Source organism: Homo sapiens, chromosome 9 (genome assembly GCF_000001405.40).
Source record: "Homo sapiens chromosome 9, GRCh38.p14 Primary Assembly".
In the NCBI taxonomy this organism is placed as follows: domain Eukaryota; kingdom Metazoa; phylum Chordata; class Mammalia; order Primates; family Hominidae; genus Homo; species Homo sapiens.
In genome coordinates this window covers 132,533,065-132,554,527 of record NC_000009.12, presented here as the reverse complement: position 1 = coordinate 132,554,527, position 21,463 = coordinate 132,533,065, and the positions used below count along the sequence as shown (strand labels likewise).

The 21,463-nt window shown below is 51.4% G+C and overlaps 1 protein-coding gene across 3 annotated transcripts in view; it reads right to left on the bottom strand.

Moving 5' to 3' along the window:
- CFAP77 (cilia and flagella associated protein 77) overlaps nt 1-21,463 on the bottom strand; it is a 163,109-nt gene that overhangs the window by 18,792 nt on the left and 122,854 nt on the right. For 2 of the 3 annotated variants that reach the window (NM_207417.3, NM_001282957.2), the window contains 2 exons: nt 16,822-16,927; nt 11,481-11,582 (listed from right to left, as the gene is read on the bottom strand). In NM_207417.3, coding sequence (NP_997300.1) covers nt 11,481-11,582; nt 16,822-16,927 — 208 coding nt within the window. Of the gene's footprint in view, nt 1-10,441; nt 10,866-11,480; nt 11,583-16,821; nt 16,928-21,463 lie in introns of those variants that run through there. The other variant, XM_011518670.3, reaches the window with a different exon arrangement.

The window sequence follows — 21,463 nt, the reverse complement described above, 5'->3', positions numbered from 1 at the left end:
CCATCTCTACAAAACATAAAAAAAATTAGCCGGGCATGGTGGTGTGCACCTGTAGTCCCAACTACTTGGGAGGCTGAGGTGGGGGATCACCTGAGCCTAGGAAGTTGAGGCTGTGATTGTGCCACTGTGCTCCAGCCTGGGTGACAGAGTGAGAGCCTGTCTCAAAAAAAAAAATAAATAAAATAAAAATAAGGGTTGCATAAAGCATAGTCTGAAGAAAAGTGTAGCAACTCTCAGGCCCCTGGTTTAAACAGATTCTAACCCTTGCTCAATTTCTGCCACATGAAGCCAAACGGAGCACATTCCATCACGTCGAGCATGTTTTTTCCACAACAGAAGGCATGACAGTGCACTCGATGATTAGGGACATAGGGCTTTGAGTTCCACAGAGCTCAGTTCCAATCCTGGTCCTATCGCTTTCCAGCTGTGTGACCAGGGGCCTCAGTTTCTCACCTGCAAAGTAAGGGTCATACTACCCATCCCGTGGGGTCATTGCCAAGCCCCTGGAATGGTGCCTGGCACACAGTGTAGGCATTGAAGACATGGTGGCTTGTACTGTTATTACTACTATTAGTATACACGAATCCGACTAAGCTTCTTCCTGAAATTGCCCTCCAGCAGGGAATTTTCACGGAGGTTCTTGTATTAAGTGATTCAAGTGGCGTTGATAGACAGTTTCAGTCACAATTTTATTTAAAAATATATAGAAATGCAGTGCAGCTTGACAAATCTTCCATGCATGTGGATAAAGGTAGAGAATGCAGCATGGACTGGTGGAGACCGTGGAGCCTAGGCCGTCCACTGTTGTTGCAACGTGGGGTTCCCCCTTCCAACATTCAGAACTCTGCCCTGGGGTGCAATCGAGACCCTGGTTGTCTATGAAGAAATGGTATCTGACTTTGGGAATTTGCAGGGCTGTCATGTGGAAGGGAGAGAAGGTGATTCCATGGGGATCAAGAAGCAAGAAACACAACAAGGAGGTGGAAGGTAGAAGGCAGATTTCCACTGCACTTGAAAAAGAGCTTGCTATGGACTGAATGTGTCCACCCAAAATTCGCATATGGTGTTTGTTTGTTTGTTTGTTTGTTTGTAGAGACAGAGTCTCACTTAGTTGCCCAGGCTGGTCTTGAACTCCTGGCCTCAAATGATCCTCCCACCTCAGCCTCGCAAAGTGCTGGGATTACAAGTGGGAGCCACCATGCTCAGCCAACAAAAAGCGTATGTGAATCCCTGACCCCCAGTGTGATGGCATTGGAGATAAGGCTCTTGGGGAGTTGATTAGGTTTAAATGGGATCGTGAGGGTGGGGCCCCCATGATAGGATTAGCGTCCTTATAAGAAGAGACACCAGAGTGTGTGCTTCCTCTCTCTCTCTCCAGCAAGTGAGGACTCGGTGAGAAGGTGCCTTGGCTATAAGCCAGGAAGAGGACCCTCACCAGAACCTGATCATGCTGGCACCCTGACCTTGGACTTATAGTCTCCAGATCTAGGAGAAATAAACATCTGTTTAAGCTCCCCAGTCTATGGGATTTTGTTAGAGCAGCCTGACTAAGACAGAAGTTCATAAGCCTTAGGGCTGTTTAACAGACAGAGGCGGTCTCCAACTGCACATTTCCCTTTGAAAGCCCCATCATGCCTCATGTCAAACATATGAAAATACATCCACCTGCCACAGTAAACACATATTTGAACGTAACTGTAAGAGTGGAGTTGACACTGACCCTGAGAGCTGGGGCAGCTGGCTTGCTGAAAATACAGGTTTGGTGGCTGTCCCAGACCCACTGGATCAGAGTCCTGGAGAGGCCCTGGACTCTGCTTTTTTTTTTTTTTTTTGAGATGGAGTCTCACCCTGTCACCTGGGCTGGAGTGCAGTGGCGTGATCTCGGCTCACAGCAACCTCAACCTCCCAGGTTCAAGCAATTCTCCTGCCTCAGCCTGCCGGGTAGCTGGGATTACAGGAGCACACCACCATGCCCAGCCAAGTTTTGTATTTTTGCTAGAGACAGGGTTTCACCATATTGGCCAGGCTGGTCTCAAACTCCTGAGCTGAAGTGATCCTCCCGCCTTGGCCTCCCAAAGTGCTGGGAGATTACAGGCATGAGCCACCGCACTGGGCCTTCGACTCTGCATTTTAAACATCTCCTCAGAGGATCCCAGGCAAAGCCAAGTTTTCGAATAACTCATCTAAAGGAGCAGCTTCCAGGGCCTCGTCCCTCCCAGAGGCTTTGTTGCTCCATGACCGTCCCCTAGCCAGGCCTGTGCCACGCGCTTCACACGCATGATTGCACTTGGTCCTCTCTGTTGCCATCCCCACTTCACAGATGCAGACCTGGGGCGGGCATGAGGCAGGCTGGGACCTGGAGCCACTCTGCATGGCTGCCCAGCCCACAGACAGACCCAGCCCTCCTGCTGGACTCAGCCTCAGCCTCCCACTTTTAACGCAGTAAGCCTGAATCCGGGATCAGCCGCCTCTTTCCTTTTTAGCCTTGGGGCCAAACTGCAATTTAAAAGATGCCCGAGGTTTTATCAAGGTCTAGAGGCTTTTGGGGCAGTGGGAAGTTTGGTTTATTGCCAGGGCTTAAATCAGCCGGAGCAGGCCCGGCCACGACACTCTGGACACTCATAAAATCCCTCATTCCTGACCGCCCTGCACTTTCCTTCCCGGGCCCGCATTTAGCCCTGCACTGGCCCCCGACCTCAGTTGCAAGTCTTTAGTGTTTATCAGCTCTTTCAGGGCCTGAGGCTTGGAGGCAGCCAGCCAGAGTCCAAGTCCCCACCTGGCCACATGCTAGCTATTAACCTTGGGCACGTGACTTTAAGCTTCCGAGCCTTAGCCTCCTTGCCTCAGAGACAGGGCAGCTCATCTCTACCATGTGGGGTTATTGAGAGTTATTGACATGAAATGGGATAACTCACGAAAGCACCCAGGCTTGGGCCGGGCGTGGTGGCTCATGCCTGTAATCCCGGCACTTTGGGAGGCCAAGGTGGGCGGATCACTGGAGGCCAGGAGTTCGAGACCAGCCTGGCCAACATGGCAAAACCCTGTCTCTACTAAAAATACAAAAATTAGCCGGGCGTGGTGGCGGATGTCTGTAATCCCAGCTACTCAGGAGGCTGAGGCAGAAGAATTGCTTGAACCCAGGAGGTGGATGCAGTGAGCCAAAATTGTGCCACTGCACTCCAGCCTGGGCAACAGAGTGAGACTCCATCTTAAAAAAATAAAATACAGTTTAAAAAAAAAAAAAAGGGCACCCAGGCTGGCACCCAAGAAGGAGTCAGGACGTGTGAGCTGTTGATGTTATCATTGCTGCTGTCTTGGAACTCCATCTTTAGGATAACTTCTCCCCTCCACTCTCCCAGCTACTGGACTTTGGTCAAACTGCCCACATTTTTTTTTCTTTTTTCTTTGCACCACCCTAAGGCATCATTTCCTAGGACTTCTTTGAGGAGAGGAGGGGAAGAAGACAGAGTCGGTCTTCATAAAACCTCCCCATTGTCTTACTTTCCCCCTACCCCAAATGTGTTCACTGACGCCATGCACTTTCCCTTTCTGAGGGTAGCCAGTCAGGCTGTGTTTGTAGCATCTTGGTCCATTTCACCTGCACTTTTGCCAGAGTTCAGTTTGAATGAACCCTGAGTTTATCCCAGGAAATCATCTGATGCCATTTATGGGCAAGAACCTGCTGACGGCCCCATATCAGATGGCACCATGTCAGGTGGCTTTGGGTCTCCACCCCACCAACCTCGCTGGGGCCAGGGGATGGAGGCTGACAAGTGGGGACACTCAGAAACCAGAAGGAACCTGGGCAACATAGTGAGACCCTGTTTCTACAAAAAAAAAATTAAAAATTAGCTGCACGCCTGTAGTCCCAGCTACTTAGGAGGCTGGGGTAGGAGAATCACTTGAGACTGGGAGGTAGAGGCTGCATTGAGCCATAATTGTACCACTGCACCCCAGCCTGGGCAACAGAGTGAGACCCTGTCTCAAAAAAAAAAAAAAAAAAAAAAAGCTTCAAGGGAGATGTTGAGGAAGATGCTGCTCCCCAAATTCCTTCCCAAGCTGGTGGGATTCTCTCTAGATCATCGGAGATTTATTCTCCTGGAGATGAGCTAGAAGTCGGAAGAAGAAATTGGGGACCCCCCAAATTCCATCAACTCCCAAAATTCAACATGAGACTCTTGCTGCCTCTAGAAATTAGAAAGATGTAACTGATGCCCAAACCAGCTGTCTTACTCATCGATTCTGGTGATTTTCAACAAAAAACCGAAATATTTTTGCATATAATCAGGGAGAAGAACCTTCTAGATTAGACAGAAAAGCCTCTGGAGCTGGAAGGATGAAGGGGGCAGCCAGGCTGGGGGTTCCCAGGTTGTAGGACTGGTCCTGTTGGAAGTGTCAGCTTCGGTCATCCCTTCACTGTTGGCCTCTGCAGGCCCCACCACAGACACTCCCAGACTCTGAGTGCTGCTCTAGGAACTTGGCCGCTATTCCCCCATCACTCCCCACATACATGAACACCTCCTTTCCTTTTGTCTCTGCCTCAGAACTTCAGCTCTGGCTATTTGTGGCTTGCCAGTATTTGAGCAGCAATGTCACCTCACGAGCAGGTGCCTAAAAATTCTATACCTCTGAGGTGCCAGATTATGTAAAACCAATTAAGCTCCTGCTTTGTTTGTTTGTTTGTTTTTTCAGACAGAGTCTTGCTCTGTCACCCAGGCTGGAGTGTAGTGGCACAATCTCTGCTCACTACAACCTCCACCTCCGTGGCTCAAGCGATTCTTCTGCCTCAGCCCCACCGAGTAGCTGTGATTACAGGTGCCTGCCATCACGCCTGGCTAATTTTTGCATTTTTAGTAGAAACAGAGTTTCACCATATTGACCAGGCTGGTCTCAAACTCCTGACCTCAGGTGATCCACCCGCCTCAGCCTCCCAAAGTGCTGGGATTGCAGGCATGAGCCACTGTGCCCGGCCAAGCTCCTGCTTTCATCCCTGTAGCAAGTCAGCTCGTCGGCATACTGATCCATGTAGAATGGGGGGTATCTGTATTTACAGAGGAAGTGTCAACTCCATCAGGGCCTCTGAATCATTCTTCCCATTGCCCTATTTCCGCATGTGACACATTCCATTCCTGCACTTGGTGCCCTACACAGTGACGTAAGATGATTCTTATTCCGATGCAAGGAAGCGACAGGATTCTTAAAATACATCACTGGTGCAGAGACCCTTGGGAGGGGCCGTAGATCTGGCATCTGTCCTTCCTGGGTTCGGATACACCTTTGTGGGGGTCGGCCCATCTTCATTTTAACTGGACAAGCCTTGTGGAGAGGCAGAGGCGGCAGGGTGGACAGGCTAGAAGCCCGCTTGGGGGGTGTAGCAGAGAGTTAACTTTCCAGCCAGCTATGATTTGTAAGAGAGCTTAAAGGTGGGAAAGAAAATCCTTTTCTTAGATTCAGCAGCTTTCACTAATCAGCTGCATCTCTGGGTGTCACTGCTTGGCTGGCTGCTGAGATATATTTTTTTCCCTCCATCTCCTGTTCTATTAGGGAGCCAGGGGCCCAGGAGACCCGAAGCAGGGTTAGTCTTCCACGAACAGAGGAGTCTGATCCCAGCGTTCAGAGCACAAAAGCTTGTAAATCAAACTGTTAGCTTAATAGCTTGGGCCATTATTCTAAAGCAGTGGGGCTGAAACCAAAAGCCAAATGAAAATATAGTCAATTTGTTCATACTTTAGTGACTGAACGACTATGTAATGTTGGTGGGTATTGGAAGTGTACAGAGACAAGGACTGTGGGGGGAGGGGCGGATGTTCCGAGGGTGGGGGCGGGAGGGGAATGTGGAGACCCCCCCGCCAGCCAACAGATGCTTGGGCAAGCCCCCTTCTAAAATGGATGTTGGGTCTCTAATTATAACATAGATTTTATAATAAAGATCCAGGCTCCGGAAGTCAGCAGGCCTCGCTGCTGGGGCACAGCCCTGACCTTCATGCCTGAGGGAAGCTGAATATGCAAAACCGGACTTGGCCAGCAGCGTGCGAGCGTTTGGTGAGACATCAGGAAGAACTGAGCTCAAAGCTGGAGGTCGAACACTGGGATGAACACCTGGGGAAGAACTCAGGATCTCCATCTTTTAAAAACATTTAAAAAAATAGCCTTACTGGTTTTGGAAAAGCTGCATCTACTCATTGAAAAAAATGCAAACCATATAGAAAAGAGCATCAGAGAAAGGAAAATCAGCTTCACCCCCCACCCCCCCGCCCCAAAGATCACCACTGCTACCATTTGTGGGGCCCTCCTGCCGAATGTCTGTAGGCATTGTGCAGACGCTCAGAGATGCTCGGGTGCTTCTCTCCAGGCGGGGCCCGTGGCATGGACTCTTTTGCCCAACAATATGTTATTAAAGTGTCAATAAGTACAGATCAAAGCCGTGGTTTTCAAGGTCTCCTAACGTGTACTTGAGCCATCTCTTCATCAGTGGCATCCAGTCTTTCGCCATTGTCATCGGCCATAAGCTTTTGGGGGCACTCACTCTCCATCTTTGGGCAGAAGGATGTACCGTCTGCTTTGTGTGGCTGTGCATGAGTGGCTGGTTGAGAACCGGAGGAAGCGCTGTTAGCCAGGGCCCCAGGGAGGGCTGCCTGGGCAAGTGGGGGTGTCTGGACCCTGCCTGGAGAGCCCTGAGGAAGTTTCTGCAAAAGGCAAGGAAACAGGGTGGGCCGGCCCACGCAGGGTTATGTTTAATGGGGCTATTGTTATGGGAGTGGCTTCCGCCCTTCAAGCAAGGTTGGTGTCTCTGGACCATTTCAGGCTGTGGACACGGCGCACCTGGGGACACCTGAGGACACCTAGGGCAGAGCTTCTCCAGACTTCCCGGCCCAGGAGCCCAGCTGTGCAGCTGCCTGTGTGTCGGTCTGTCTGTCCATGTCACCCCAAGCCAGCGGCCAGCAGCCCAACGGTGGCAGTCACACCCGAGTCTGGCCTGTTCGCCAGCATAGCATCAGTGCGGGGAACAGGGCCCAGCATGAAGGCGCATGTGGAAAAGATTTGTGAATGAGCAGGGGAATGAATGAATGAATGATCTCCACAGCCATCCTCATGGAGCTGCCACTTATAGGCAGTTAACATGGGCCAGGCGTTCTGCTGAGCGTGGTGCACACATATTCTCTCTGGATCCTCCCAGCAGCCTAGCCAGGGGAGCATTTGTTAGCCCATTTTATGGAAGAGGAAGTGGGTCACAGACAGGTAAAGCCACCTGACAGGTAGGTGTGGCAGGGTCACCACTTGACCCCGTCTGGCTGTCCCTGGAGTCATGCGTGCACACAGATGTACCACATTACTCCTTGCTGGCCTTGCTGTCTGCCCTGGAGACCTAGAACACCCGGCCAAAGGGCAGGGGAGCGTCTCTATCCCCCACAGGGCACAGAGGGCATCAGCCCCAGCCCAGCGGCTCCTCCATTCAGGGATGGGAGAAAATGAGTTCATGTCCCATCCCCAAAATGGGCACCTGAGAAGGATCTGAGCTGCTCCCCCTGCTGGCTCACCCTGGGTTTGGGGTCTGCACCTCCAAGGGCCCCCATCCCCTCCCACATGGCTCCTGGGCCAGTGAACTGGGGATCACAGAATCTTGGATTGGAAGGAACGCTCAAGAACTAGTCCCACCCACTCATTGTCAGCTGAGGAAACAGAGGTCTGGAGAGAGAGCCCAGGCATAACTGTCCTGGTAGGAGGGCCCCTCGCCAGCTGCTGGCAGAACCCCCTTCTGGGCCCCAGCCACCAGGGGCAGTTGCTGGTGGCACAGACCAGAAAGAAGACATCTCTGTACTGCCCTGCCTGGAGGGAATGCACAGTGGGGGATGTGTCCTCTTCCCTCTTTGGTCCCTCTCCTCTCTCGACCCTGTAAGTGGCCCGGGTCATCCAGCGCGGGGGTCTCGGCAGCCCCTCTGGCAGGGCAGCCCCCTCGTGGCTGGCGGTGTCGGTGCAGCAGCCGCGCCCTGCCTGCTGCTTTTCAGTGTGAAAGGTGTTTAATTATTTCTGACAGAGTTCAGCGTCGACATCTGCTCGTGAGCGGGGAGAGTCCATTTAGGTTATCCATCACCGTGACAGGCTCAACTTTTCTGGAAGCGCTTTTCCCTTCATAATGGGGCCGGGGTGGGGGCAGCAGATCAGCGGCAAAGCCAGGCGCAGACAAAGGCCCTCCCGGGGCTTCACACGTGACAGACACCACAGACAGCAGCTCCGCCTAGGGGGAGTGGCCCTGGCCACCCGCCCGGACCCCTGAGTCCAGGCCCAGTTGGTGGCTGCCGGGATGGTGGGTGCTTGGTTTGGGAAGGGGAGAAAGGGGAGGCTCAGCAGGTCTGTAACAGACTTTTAAATTCTTCTGTCACTCTGGGCTGTACTGGCGGTTCAGTCTTTCATCCCCTCATTCATTCATTCCACAGATGTTTACTGATCCCCTACTCTGTGCCAGGCACCCTGCTGGCCTCTGGGGACAAGGTGTGGAACTGACAGGCACGGTCCTGGGGGGCTCACATTTTACTGAGCAAGATGAAAAAAATTGCCCAGTTAATTAATTGCAGAGTTAAGTGCCGTGAAGGGGAAGAAAGGATCCCTTGGTGGTGAGAATGGGGACCTGTGGGTGGGGCCTGGAGGTGAGGGAAGGGGTCCTCGGGAGGCCCTGGGGCTAGGAAACCCCAGATTGGACCCAGACTCCACTTCTCACCTCTCCAAGCCTCAGTTTCCATGTCAGTAGAATGGGGGCATGATATCTATGAGATGAGACCTGCTCAGCGCCGGGTGCATTCTAAGGGCTCGGTAAATACTTTTTGTTGGTGTTACTTCCTGACAAGGAGGCGACTGCGTGTGACACCCATAACGGCAGCACTCTGTGTGTCTAAGGGTCTCTGCTGGGTTGGACAGGGTGGCATCCAGGGATGAACCCGGCACAATTCCCCATTTCCCTTGGCCCCAGGTTTCTGGCAAGTAGGATAGGGAGACAGCCTGCAGCTTTAACTCCCAGCATCCTGCGAATACCCTCGGAAAGGAGGCGAACACTCAGTATATGCTGTGGCTTGCATGTTGATTTTCTTTCTCATGAGTTTTATGGCCCGATAGGTCATGTGTCTCGGCTTGGGCCCTGCCATCAGACACACCTGGGTTCCTGTCCCCGCCACTCTCTGGGCAAGGAAGGTGCTCCCCCTCTGCCTTTCATCTGCACCACCTGGTCAGGACTCTTGTTCTGAGGCTGAAATGAAGTAATATGCACACATGACCTCACACAGTGCCTGGCATGGCACAGGAGGCCATCATTCCTGGTTTGCTATTGTTCATAATCATATTTCAGAACAACGGTCTCAAGACTGGCAGACCCATGGTCAGCTGAGTCAAATCCCCTCTTTGGAAAATGGAAACTCATTCTATGTGCATTTAGCTCCTACTTGGGGCCAGGCGCCGTGGGACACAGGTGAGTGAGACAGACCGGAGCTCCCAGCACAGGTGCGGCACTGTTACCTGGAGCCCTTTCCTTGCTCTGCTGAGGGGAGAACACCTGAGCCTCCTGTGTCCATGGTCTTGGGCTCTAAATCAGAGAGGAGGGGGCTGAGTGGGGCTGGGAGTCAAGGCCTAAAGCAGAGTGCTGCAGAGGGCAGCCCATGCCAGTGGAACGCTGGGTCCCAGTCCCTCCTCAGGCAGCGTCCCCATGAACTGCAGGGATTCTCACAGAGAAAGGAGCAGGGAGGTAGCTGAGCATGGTGACTCATGCCTGTAATCCCAGCACTTTGGGAGGTCCAGGCAGGAGGATCACTTAAGGCCAAGAGTTTGAGACCAGCCTGTCCAACATGGCGAAACCTCATCCCTGCAAAAAAACACAAAAATCAGCTGGGCATGGTGGTACAAGCCTGTGGTTCCAGCTACTCAAGAGGCTGAGGCAGGAGGAACACCTGAGCCTGGGAAGTTGAGGCTGCAGTGAAGGTGATTGCACCACTGCACGCCAGCCTGGGTGACAGAGTGAGACCCAGCCTTAAAAAAAAAAAAAAAAAAAAAAATAGGCAGTGAGGAAAGACCACAGCCAGGGCCAGGATGGAGGCTGTGGACGGAATCTGCTGAGTGAGTGAGAGAGCAGGAGAAGCAGAGGAAGCAACATGGCTGGAAAAGGTAGAGAAGCTAGAGATGAGCCGTGCTGTCGAGGGCAGGAGCGGTGAGAGGAGCTGCGGAGCTGCAGTGACTCCCTCCACCTCCCAAACGTACTCGGCCCTGTTCCTCCCTTGACGTCTGCTGTGCACGGAGGCAGCGCACTGACGGGCGGCAGGGCGCATGGTCATTGACATATGCTGGCAGAGGCCACTTGGGCAGGACATGAGAGGCCGCGTCAAGGGGGGGCAGAGCAGGTTTCTCCGGTGAAGCTCTACAGCCTGTTCGAGTGCATTAGGCTCAGAAAGGCACCGGTCCCTTCATTGTTTAAACTGCAGTTTAATGCGGCACAGCGGCCGGGCCTGGCTGCCCAGGAACATTGCAGCTGTCTTCCCGGGGCCAGGCGACTGCCTTGTGGCCTCCTAGAAAGGCTCCCTCTGCCTGAGCTGGACACACGCACCTCCCCCGGCCCCATCCTGAAGCCACTGTTCCCAAATCTCCCACTTCCCTTTCTCCGTACGGTGCCCCCGGCTCTTACATTGTTCTTTCCCTGCCAAAAGCTGTTGAAGATGAATCCCTGTCTGGGTGCTACAGGGCTACAAGGCTGAGTGAACACCGGTTGAGTTCTGAGGCCAGAATGTGGCGTGTTCCCTGGGTCCTTATCTAGGTCAGTCTGGGTACGTGTCGCACACTTGCCCCAGTCCTTGGTAGACCTTTGCTCCTCTCTCCTCAGGGACATCACTCTGTGGGAAGTTCATGCTGGTTGGCATGCATCTGTCTTGCACCCCAAAATTCCCAGCGCAGGATGTCATGCATCAACTACCCCTTCCCTGGAGGGAGGTTTGGTCCAGACAGCCCCTGCCCCAGGGAGACAGCCTCCTCCCCTGGTGAACAGCCTCTGCCCCAGGTGGACAGCCTCCTTCCTCAAGGCGGACGGACAGCCCTCTCCCCAGGTGGACAGCCTCCTTCCCCAGCTAGACAGCCTCCTCCAGGTGGACAGCCTCCTCTACAGGAAGACTGCCTCTGCCTTAGGTGGACAGCCACCCAGCCTCTGCACCCAGATGGTCTGGGTTCAGCCCAAGACTCTGCCACTCCGCAGCATCCACCATGTTTCCTGTCTGGAAAATAGGCCTGGTAGCAGCAGCTGCCCCCTTCAGTGAATGTGAAAAGTCACAAAGGCTCAGCTCCGGGCCTTGGGAAGTGCTCAGGAAACATTAGCTGTTGCGATTGCTGCTGCGGCTGTTGTACTAATCGATGGTGAGAAGCCCACAGAACCCAGAGACAGCAGGTAAGGACCTGGCAAGGTGAGCGGCAGCCAGCAAGGTGCAGGGAGGGGTGTGGATGAAGGTGACACTGACCTTCTGGAAGTGAGGCATGTGCCAGAGGGTGTCCAGCTTCACGGGCGGCTTGTACTTCCTCAGCTGACTGCTCCGGGTCTCATACAGCTTCCCAAGGACCACCTGTAGGCCAGGGAAAGGCAAAGGTGAGATGGTTGCCCGGCTACTTGGAGAAGGCCGTGCTGAAGGGATATAGAGACAGAGGGCTGGGATTCTTGGCGTGGCAAGATCCTCGGTCACTTTCCTTCTGGCCCCAGCCCTTCTCCAAGGCTGTTTCACACCACCTGCCTCCATGGTCCTGTCTCTGGCCACAGCTCAGGAGACTGGGGGAGGGGGGGTGGGACCCCAGGACACCCGGAGCATTCCAGTCTCTGGAACATGTGGGATTCCAGCGTGCAGCCACCCTCAGGGCATGGACAGTGTCTCAGTCATCCTTGAACTTGTCCTCCGTGGCTCACGCAGCCCCAGTGGGTCCCCAGGACTCCATGGTGTTTGGATGAAGAAGTGCACGATTCCAGGGGTTAGTGTCTTTTAGAGCAGGTCCTCCATGGCCTGCTCGTGCAGGAGGAGTGAGAGCTTCTTCGGGGGACTCAGGGACCTCCCACCACGGTGTCTCTGCAGGTGTGATTTCAGAGACACAGTGGAAGCCCCTCTGCTCCTGACCTGCGTGCCTGTGCCCACTGACAGGTGCCAGCAAGTCCACTGTTAGAGCCACATAGCTCGTAAGGTCTGTTCTAGACTGACCCAAAAGACTTGGCACTTGGCTTCGACTGTGTCATGTCCTAAGATGTGCCAGGGGATGGGGCGTAGGCGGCTGGGGATGGGCTGGAGGCCCTGGTTTGGGAGTCGTCAGTATTGGCTATGGCCAGAGCCACAGACCTGGCTCAGGGCAGCCCCCGGGGAGTACTGGGGACAGAGGCCTGGCGGAGTAGCCCTGAGGCCATCAATGCTGCCAAGTCCTTTATCTCAGGGCTCAGTTAGGAGGGGCCCTGGGCATGAGCTCACAGGGTCTCAGGTTTCCTTTGTGTATTTTCTCTTAAATTGGGATTCCAAACTGTAGACCTTTCAGGCCCTACAGAACATGGATCTGCCCTGGGGTTCACCAGGCTTATGTTTCCTCTTTCCCTAAAGGCAACTGTCTTCCAAGGGCGGGGCCCAGTAAACCTTCCGCGTCACCTCCCATGGTGTGAAGCACACAGACAGCACAATCGGCAAATAAAGACTGAACCGAGTTTAATCGAAGGTGCCACCACCCCAGTAAACCCCTTTTACTGATTTTATTGTATTAATTTTACTGAAAGTGTCTGTGGATCACTTACAAACCCCCCTACCCGTTTTTTTGTGTTTTTTGTTGTTGTTGTTTTGAGACGGAGTGTCACTGTTGCCCAGGCTGAAATGCAGTGCTGTGATCTAGGCTCCCGGGTTCAAGCAACTCTCCTGCCTCAGCCTCCCAAGTAGCTGGGATTACAGGCAACCACCACCACGCCCAGCTAATTTTTGTGTTTTTAGTAAAGACAGGGTTTTGCCGTGTTGGCCAGGCTGGTCTCAAATTCCTGGCCTCAAGTGATTCACTGGCCTTGGCCTCCCAAAGTGCTGGGATTTCAGGCGTGAGCCACCACACCTGGTCATGTCTAGAAGGTTTTGAAACTATCTTTGAACCAAAGCAGAGAGGCTGTCTAGTCGGGGGTTATGGAGCCAGGCTTCGGAATTAGAGGCAAGCAGCCATGTCACCTGTCTGAGCCTCAGTTCCTTCTGCTAGCAATAGGGTGCCAACGCCCACTGAGCAGGGTTCTTGCAGGGTTTGCTGAGTTGAGCTCTGAGGAGGGCGGCTGGCCAAGATGATGGCTCACTTAGTGGTAGCTGTTGCCACGAATTTCATCTGGGGTCATCACCATCCAAATCAGGACATACCCCGATGCTTACAGGCTTGAGGAGGACACTGAGGTCTGTGGTGGTGGGGATGTGGCTTTGCAAACTGACCGTCTAAGCAAGTCCGGTAAATTGTCTATCAACCCCAGACCACAGCCTCCCAGCGTTTGGGGGGTTTGTAGCCATTTGTAGGACAATATAGCAGCCACAGAGAATCTTGGAGCAAGATTACGAGGTTGGTACAACAAGTGTTTTCTGAGTGCCTGCTATGCGCTAAGTGATGGGGTTCACAATACCTCCAAATATGCCCCCTTGGCATACTGAAAAAGGGAGAAGTAGGACGTCTCGCTCACATCCCCTGCCCTTCTCCCCTCAAGCAGGTTATGCGACCCTCATTCGAGAGGTGCCCCCCAAAACTTACAGGTAAAGAACATCCTGATAATCTGAACAACAGGCCTTGCGAAGTTTCCCCCAGTTTATCACCAAAAGATCACACTATTCATCCAATCCTTTCTCCACAACTATCCCCTTCTTCACCAAATCCAGCATAAAAATATATGCGTTTAACCATTTCTTTGGGCCTTCATTTCCTTACAGAGGCTCATGTGTCACATAAAACTGAAAGACATTTGAATGCTTTTCTCTTGCAAATCTGTCTTTTGTGATAGGGCCCTCAGCCATGAGTCTAGAATGGGTAGAAGGAAAGACATTTTCCTCCCCCAACAGGCACAGTATGGTGGGGCCTTGTTTAATCAGACCCCTTTCCGCACCCAATGCAGAAACCAAGACCCCAACAAAGAGAGACTCACTCAGCCACACATGCAGAGCTGGTACCTGCTCCAAACCACACGAGCTGTTTTGGGGGCTCTGCTTGAAAAGGAGGGACTCTGTCCTAGAGCTGGAAGATGGGGTCGGTTTACCAACACTCTGGGATGCGTGAAATACCTGCTAATTAAAACTCCCAGCTCTAAGCCTGGCACAGTGGCTCATGCCTGTAGTCCCAGAACTTTGGGAGGCTGAGGTGGGTGGATCACGTGAGGTTAGGAGTTTAAGACCAGCCTGGCCAACAAGGTGAGACCCCGTCTCTACTAAAAATACAAAATTAGCTGGGCCTGGTGGCAGGCGCCTGTAATCCCAGCTACTCAGGAGGCAAGGCTGGAGAATCACTTGAACCCAGGAGGCGGAGGTTGCAGTGAGTTGAGATTGCCCCATTGCACTCCAGCCTGGGCAACAAGAGCAAAACTCCGTCTCAAAAACAAACAAACAAAAACAAAAATAAACAAACAGCAAAAAAAACTCCCAGCTCTAATGCGGGGCTAGAAAGCAGTTTGTGCTGGTAATGCTCCCTCTGAAATCGGCCATCACCACAGCAAGTGGACTCTTGCTTGAGCCATTAACGAATAAACTAGTCGTGGGTTGCTCTTAAAATGTTATTACAAGGCCGAGCTCTTTAATGAGGTGTCTGACGTTCTGCAGACTGCTGAGAAGAGCCAGGAGAGGCCCTGGCACCCGCCACGCCTGGAAATCCTCAGCCTCCCACTTCGTGCACCCCTCCTGGCCCCTCCTGAGGGTACCAGGATTTCGAGAAAGACTCCTCCGATCCCCTGGTTGGCCCTAGAACATCATAGGCGCTGTTGCTGAGCCCCAGGCTTTTCCGTAAACAGCAGGAGTGGGACCTCTTCTTCAGGAAGAGCCTGGACTCTCAGGCTGGACACACCTAGGTCTGACACTGTTGGCAAATCACTTCATCTCTCTGAGCCCTAGTTTCCCCGTGAAATAAACCAAACTGAGATGATAGGAGGAGAGACTGACCTCAGGGCATTCTCAGAGAACTAAATGCAGAAACTCAGGGTGCATACTCAGCCCAGCCCTCAGCTCAGAGGCTTGGGGAGGGTGCTGGTTGTGATTGTCATGACAACTAGCCACGCCGGAGCCACGCCTTGATGAAGTCTATAAAGTACTGTGTGAACATAGAGTGATTCTGATTTTACCATCGTCAGTCTGGACCTACTGCCGAGGAGGCCAATCTGATCTCTCTGAAAGCTCGAGTTTCAGAATATTTTAAAGGAAGTACTATTTTATTTATTTATTTTTATTTATTTATTTTTTTATCGAGACGGAGTCTTGCTCTGTTGCCCAGGCTGGAGTGCAGTGGCACGATCTTGGCTCACTGCAACCTCCACCTCCTGGGTCCAAGCAACTCTCTTGCCTCAGCCTCCCGAGTAGCTGGGACTACAGGCACATGCCACCACGCCCAGCTAATTTTTTGTATTTTTAGTAGAGACGGGGTTTCACCGTGTTAGCCAGGATGGTCTCGATCTCCGGACCTCATGATCCGCCCGCCTTGGCCTCTCAAAGTGCTGGGATTACAGGTGTGAGCCACCGTACCCAGCCAGGAAGTACCATTCTAGTATCTTTTCTTTTGAGAGAGTCTCACTCTGTCGCCCAGGCTGGAGTGAAGTGGTGCAATCTCAGCTCACTGCAACCTCCGCCTCCCAGGTTCAAGCTATTCTCCTGCCTCAGCCTCCTGAGTAGCTGGGATTACAGGTGCCCACTATCATGCCCAGCTAATTTTTGTATTTTTAGGAGAGACAGGAGTTTCACCATGTTGGCCAGGCTGGTCTCAAACCAGGTGATCCACCCACCTCGGCCTCCCAAAGTGTTGGGATTACAGGCGTGAGCCACCGCGCCCGGCCTTGAGTATTTTCACATGTGTATGACAACACAAACGAAGAATTAAAGATGGTTTTCCTTCCTGCTAAAAAACCTCACTGCCCTGACGTCCTGCTTGTTGCTAGGGACTCCTATCACCAGCAATCGGCAGTGTCTGGACATCCTTGGGACCTCAGCTCAAACTTCCCTGTGCAGGCACTGCCTCCCCAAGCCTCGACTTCCACGCCTGGGAAGCAGCGATTACAATGCCTGCCTTGTGGCTTTGGTAGCATAGATGAGAGGATGCACGTCATGCACGGGAGGTGTTTGGAATGCTGCTTCCTGGTTAATTTGTAATAAAATGTTACAAAGTTTAATATAATGTGTTCTTTAAGGCACCCTTTCAGAAGTGGTTTCCTTTTCAACTTTGCCTTATTGGCCTTTTCTCTATAGATTGTACAGGACATACTTCTGTGTGGGCCAGGTTGGATTAGTCTAAAATCTGATTTTGGGTGTGTGCAGAGGTTTGGTGGGAAGGGTCCCGAGGTAGGAGTCAGGACAGCTGGGTTCTCATCCCCGCTCAGGGTCACACAGGGCCTATTGACTGATGGCCCGGACCCATCTCCTCTACGCTCTGAGCTTAGGTAGGGTAGGAACTGGATAATCACCAAGATGCTTTCAGCTGTAGATTCTCTGATGCTGGGCAGAAGATGCAACCTGATTTCCCACTCATCCCCAATGACAAACATACACAAGTGTCATCTCGATGCTTGGCCCTGGCCAGCCCTTCTCTCTTCTCCACCCCATCAGCTGTCAACTTGGGAGCGAGGGCTGCATTTACCTTCTGCTTCTTCTCCAGTTTGATGGCTTTCTGGGTGGCCTTTTGTTCCTGTACCCACAGCTGCAGGTACCGGTGCTGCAGCAGATCAAAGAAGGGTGTGGAAGGCCTGGAGGGAAGAAGTCCAGACAGAGCTTGAGGCCCCGGAAAGACCAGAGGCACCCGCTCCCCACCGCCCGCCCCCGGGAGCCTCCTAAACGTCAGGGGCTGTGGGGTACATCACTCCCACCTCTGTGAAAGCCTCTCTCCCAGCGCTCAAAAGCCACGAAACAGGTCCCTCACATAGGCTGATGAGTGGTGGGCCTGGGACGGTGGTAGGACTCCCTCCTTGACCAGACGTTAGAGGTCTGGTCCTCTGAGCTCTTTCTCACTAGGACTCATCCCTGGGCCCTTCCTTGGCCTGCTGAAGCCAGTTGTAGCCAAGAGTCCCGCTACGTTGATTCCCCACCCCTTCACATCTGATTACCCTTGACAGCTGATTAAGTTCCTCACCTGCACCCCTGATATCTGATGACCTTGGCCTGCCTTTAGCAAGGATCTTCCTGCCTTGATGTCTCCTCTTAGTAATTTTCCATCCACTGACCCCGCCCCTCCCTTGGCTCCTCAGCTAAACATCCCCACTTCTGTTGTATCTGGAACTGAACTCAGTTCTATACTGAAGCCTCTCCCCTTTTGCAATAGTATTGAATAAAATGTCTTTACCACCTTTAATCAGTGTCTGGCTCTGGTTCCCTTTGACAACGATTTCCAGCCAAGGAGCACTTACCCTAGGCATTTTGTATGCTCCACCCCTTCCCAACAGGAAAATGGATACTAGTATTATTCCCATCTTACAGATGAGAAGGGTAAAATCCCAGAGCAGCACGGGAAGCACCGCAAGGCAGACCCGCTCAGCCACAAGCCTCTGTAGCAGCGAATGGCCAACTGCTCCCAGGTGGGACCTAATCTCTAAACAGGTTGAGAGACGGAATATCCAAATGGACAATGGCCAAACCACATATAAAAGTAGAACTATGGGCTGGGTGCAGTGGCTCACACCTGTAATCCCAGCACTTTGGGAGGCCGAGGCAGGTGGATCACCTGAGGTCAGGAGTTTGCCACCAGCCTGGCCAACATGGTGAAGCCCTGTCTCTACTAAAAATACAAACATTAGCTGGGTGTGGTGGCGTGTGCCTGTAATCCCAACTAGTAGGGAGGCTGAGACAGGAGAATTGCTTGAACCTGGGAGATGAATGTTGCAGTGAGCCAAGATCACGTCACTGCACTCCAGCCTGGGCAACATAGCAAGACTCTGTCTCCAAAAAAAAAAAAAAAAAAAGAACTATGAGCCACAATCTGCAGCAGCTAGGCCAGGAAACCAGCCCATTTTGTACAGTAACCAGCCCAGGAAGCCACCTGCTATGCCAGACTTGTAGGAAGTCAGACTGTGGTCTCTACCAACAGGCCAGGAAGCCAAAGAATAACCTTGAAACAGCCAACCCAGAATGTCCAGGACTTGGTTAATAACTCCCAGCTCCCCTAAGTTTTGTACCCACTTGGAGCTTAGAACCAACCAGAGAAAACTAAATAAGCACCCCTAACCAGTCCCATAGGATGCCCCCATATATATAAGATAGATATCTAGAATTTATGATGTATATCATATATATATGATGCATATACATATATTTCTATTTTCATGAGGAAGAAAATGAAAAGATAAACCAAACTTATTAACTAAGAAGCTACCTGTAGAATGAGGGAGAGAACAGGAAGGAAATGACAGAAAGGAAAGCTAGAACTTTTTGAATAGACTTTGTGTTATAGTTTTGACTTTGGAAACATAAAAAATGGTTTTTTTGCTAATTATGAAAAAATTAAAGAGAAAGGATTAGCATCTACCCCAAATAACAACAGGAGAAAGCAAATGAACCTAATTGTATGTCAAGTTGTGGCATAACCACAGATGATTTCAAGTGACTTTATTTATTTATTTATTTATTTATTTATTTATTTATTGAGGTGGAGTCTCACGCTGCCACCCAGTCTGGAGTGCAGTGATGCAATCTCAGCTCACTGCAACCTTGCCTCCCAGGTTCAAGTGATTCTCCCACCTCAGCCTCCTGAGCAGCTGGGATCACAGGCACCAGCCACCACACCCAGCTAATTTTTTGTATCTTTAGTAGAGACAGGGTTTTGCTATGTTGACTAGGCTGGTCTCAAACTCCTGACCTCAAGTGATCTGCCCACCTCGGCCTCCTAAAGTGTTGGGATTACAGGCGTGAGCCACCTCGCCCAGCTTCAAGTGACTTTAAAAGAGATTTGGGCAGAATATCCCTAGCGTAAGATATCCCGAGGATAAAAAGAACCATGAGGAAATCTGAAGCTGTGTCCTTGTTGCTAATAATAATGTTGATATTGTTAGTTTGAAACTATTATGTATACATTCCAGGATAAAGCAAATTAGTAATTATATAAATGTCATTAGGAGAAAAGAAATACCTATATAAAATCAAAGAAGTAGAAAAAAACCTGTGTAATTTTAAATTTGAATTGTAAATATCATTATCAACTCATTAGTTTTCCTCTTGATAAAAAGTAACATGTTTCCTATCCCTATCTCTGTCCACTGTAAAAGTCTAGAAGTGACAACAACTCAGTAGCAGTGAGCACCCCTAGTGCCCAGACTGTGGTCTCTAAGTGCCATTCTCTGCTCAAAAGAACCGGGGATCACTGGAGAAATGGCTGATCTCTGTGCCCAGGAGGTCCCCATGCCAGAAGCAAGAAGGCTGTCAGAGGCTACTGGGAGACATGGTAATGGACCACAGGGGCCAGCCCAAATTTGCCAAAGACAGGACAATTTGAGCATTAGACAGAATAACAATGGCCGTGAGTTGAAATCCATCATACAGCACTCTCTATATGACATATGGATATATATGCATAATTCTGGTGGGAAAAAAGGAAAACCTCCTTGTGCAGTTTGGAGGTTGCTGGGCCACAAAATCATTATTCTGAAAATAAATAACAGAACATTTCCCTGCCTTTCTAGTACAAACTGCATCCTGGGGTAATCAAATAGGCGATAAGGGAAAGTTCTTTTTTTTTTTTTTTTTTTTTGAGACAGAGTCTCGCTCTGTTGCTCAGGCTGGAGTGCAGTGGCAGATCTCAGCTCACTGCAAGCTCCGCCTCCTGGGTTCACGCCATTCTCCTGCCTTAGCCTCCCGAGTAGCTGGGACTACAGGCACCCACCACCACGCCTGGCTAATTTTTCATATTTTTAGTAGAGGTGGGGTTTCACCATGTTAGCCAGGATGGTCTTGATCTCCTGACCTCGTGATCCACCCGCCTCAGCCTCCCAAAGTGCTAGGATTACAGGCATGAGCCACCGTGCCCGGCCGGAAAAGTTCTTTATAGAAAAGCCAGAGCTCATAAATGCAGGAGGAATGACAGAATTAGTGGGAAAATCAGTGTTTTGTGACTCCTAATGAAATAATGGATCTAGGGAACATTCATCTGTGGCTGCTAAAATGATCAGGTGGAGGCTGATGGGGAGCTTCCCAGCAGATGGGTCATGCTGCAGCAGCTGAACCAAATGACCAGCCCTTTATATGACCATCATTTTATTATTGTGGTAAATATACACAACATAAAATTGACCCCAGTTATCAATCTTGACATCACTGACAGTGACAAATAGATACTGTGCCAGAACTGATATGCTAGGAGGGATGCTGGACTGCCTACCAAACATGTTCGGGGAAAAAACCCAACGTAAACTGGAATGTAATCAAGCCTCTAGACCAGCATTGTCAAATTACTTCTTTTTCTTTTCCTTTTTTTTCTTTTTGAGATAGAGTCTCGCTCTGTTGCCCAGGCTGGAGTGTAGTGGTGGGATCTCAGCTCACTGCAACCTCCACCTCCTGGGTTCGAGTGACTCTCCTTCCTCAACCTCCCGAGTAGCTGGGACTCCAGGCGCCCACCACCATGCCCAGCTAATTTTTGCATTTTTAGAAGAGATGGGGTTTGGCCATTTGGCCAGGCTGGTCTTGAACTGTTGACCTCAAGTGATCCACCCACCTTGGCCTCCCAAAGTGCTGGGATTACAAGCGTGAGCCACTGCACCTGGCCTCAAATTACTTTCAATAGAAAAAAACTGCAATTACTTTTGTACCAACCTAATATAACGTGAGCTACCCTGTAACCCCAAACCAAGAAACGCCTGGAGCCGCCAGCAGCTGGAAGAGGCAGGAAGCGTCCTCGGCTAGAGCCCTGGGAGGGAGCGGGGCCTGCTGACTCCTGTTTCATGCTTCTGGCCTCCAGAATTGTGAGAGAATCATTTCCTGTTGGGTAAGCCACCAAGTTCATGGTAATTTGTGATACTGGCCACAGGACACTCGTACACAGGGGTTCCTCAGCCTACACACTGGGAAACATCGATGGGAACCACCTTTCCCATGAGCGGTATCCAGAACACGGCCAGTGACCGGAACATGAAGAGTCTTCGGCAGCTGAAGGGCCCTTTGAGCAGCGTTTCTCAAACTATACACCTGGGTCACCGTGGGATCTCGTTCAGGGCACCTCCGATTCAGTCACGTAGGGCGCCTAGAGGCGCTGCATCCAGGCCTCATGCTTCAAGGCTTAAGGACCTGGAGATGATCTAACC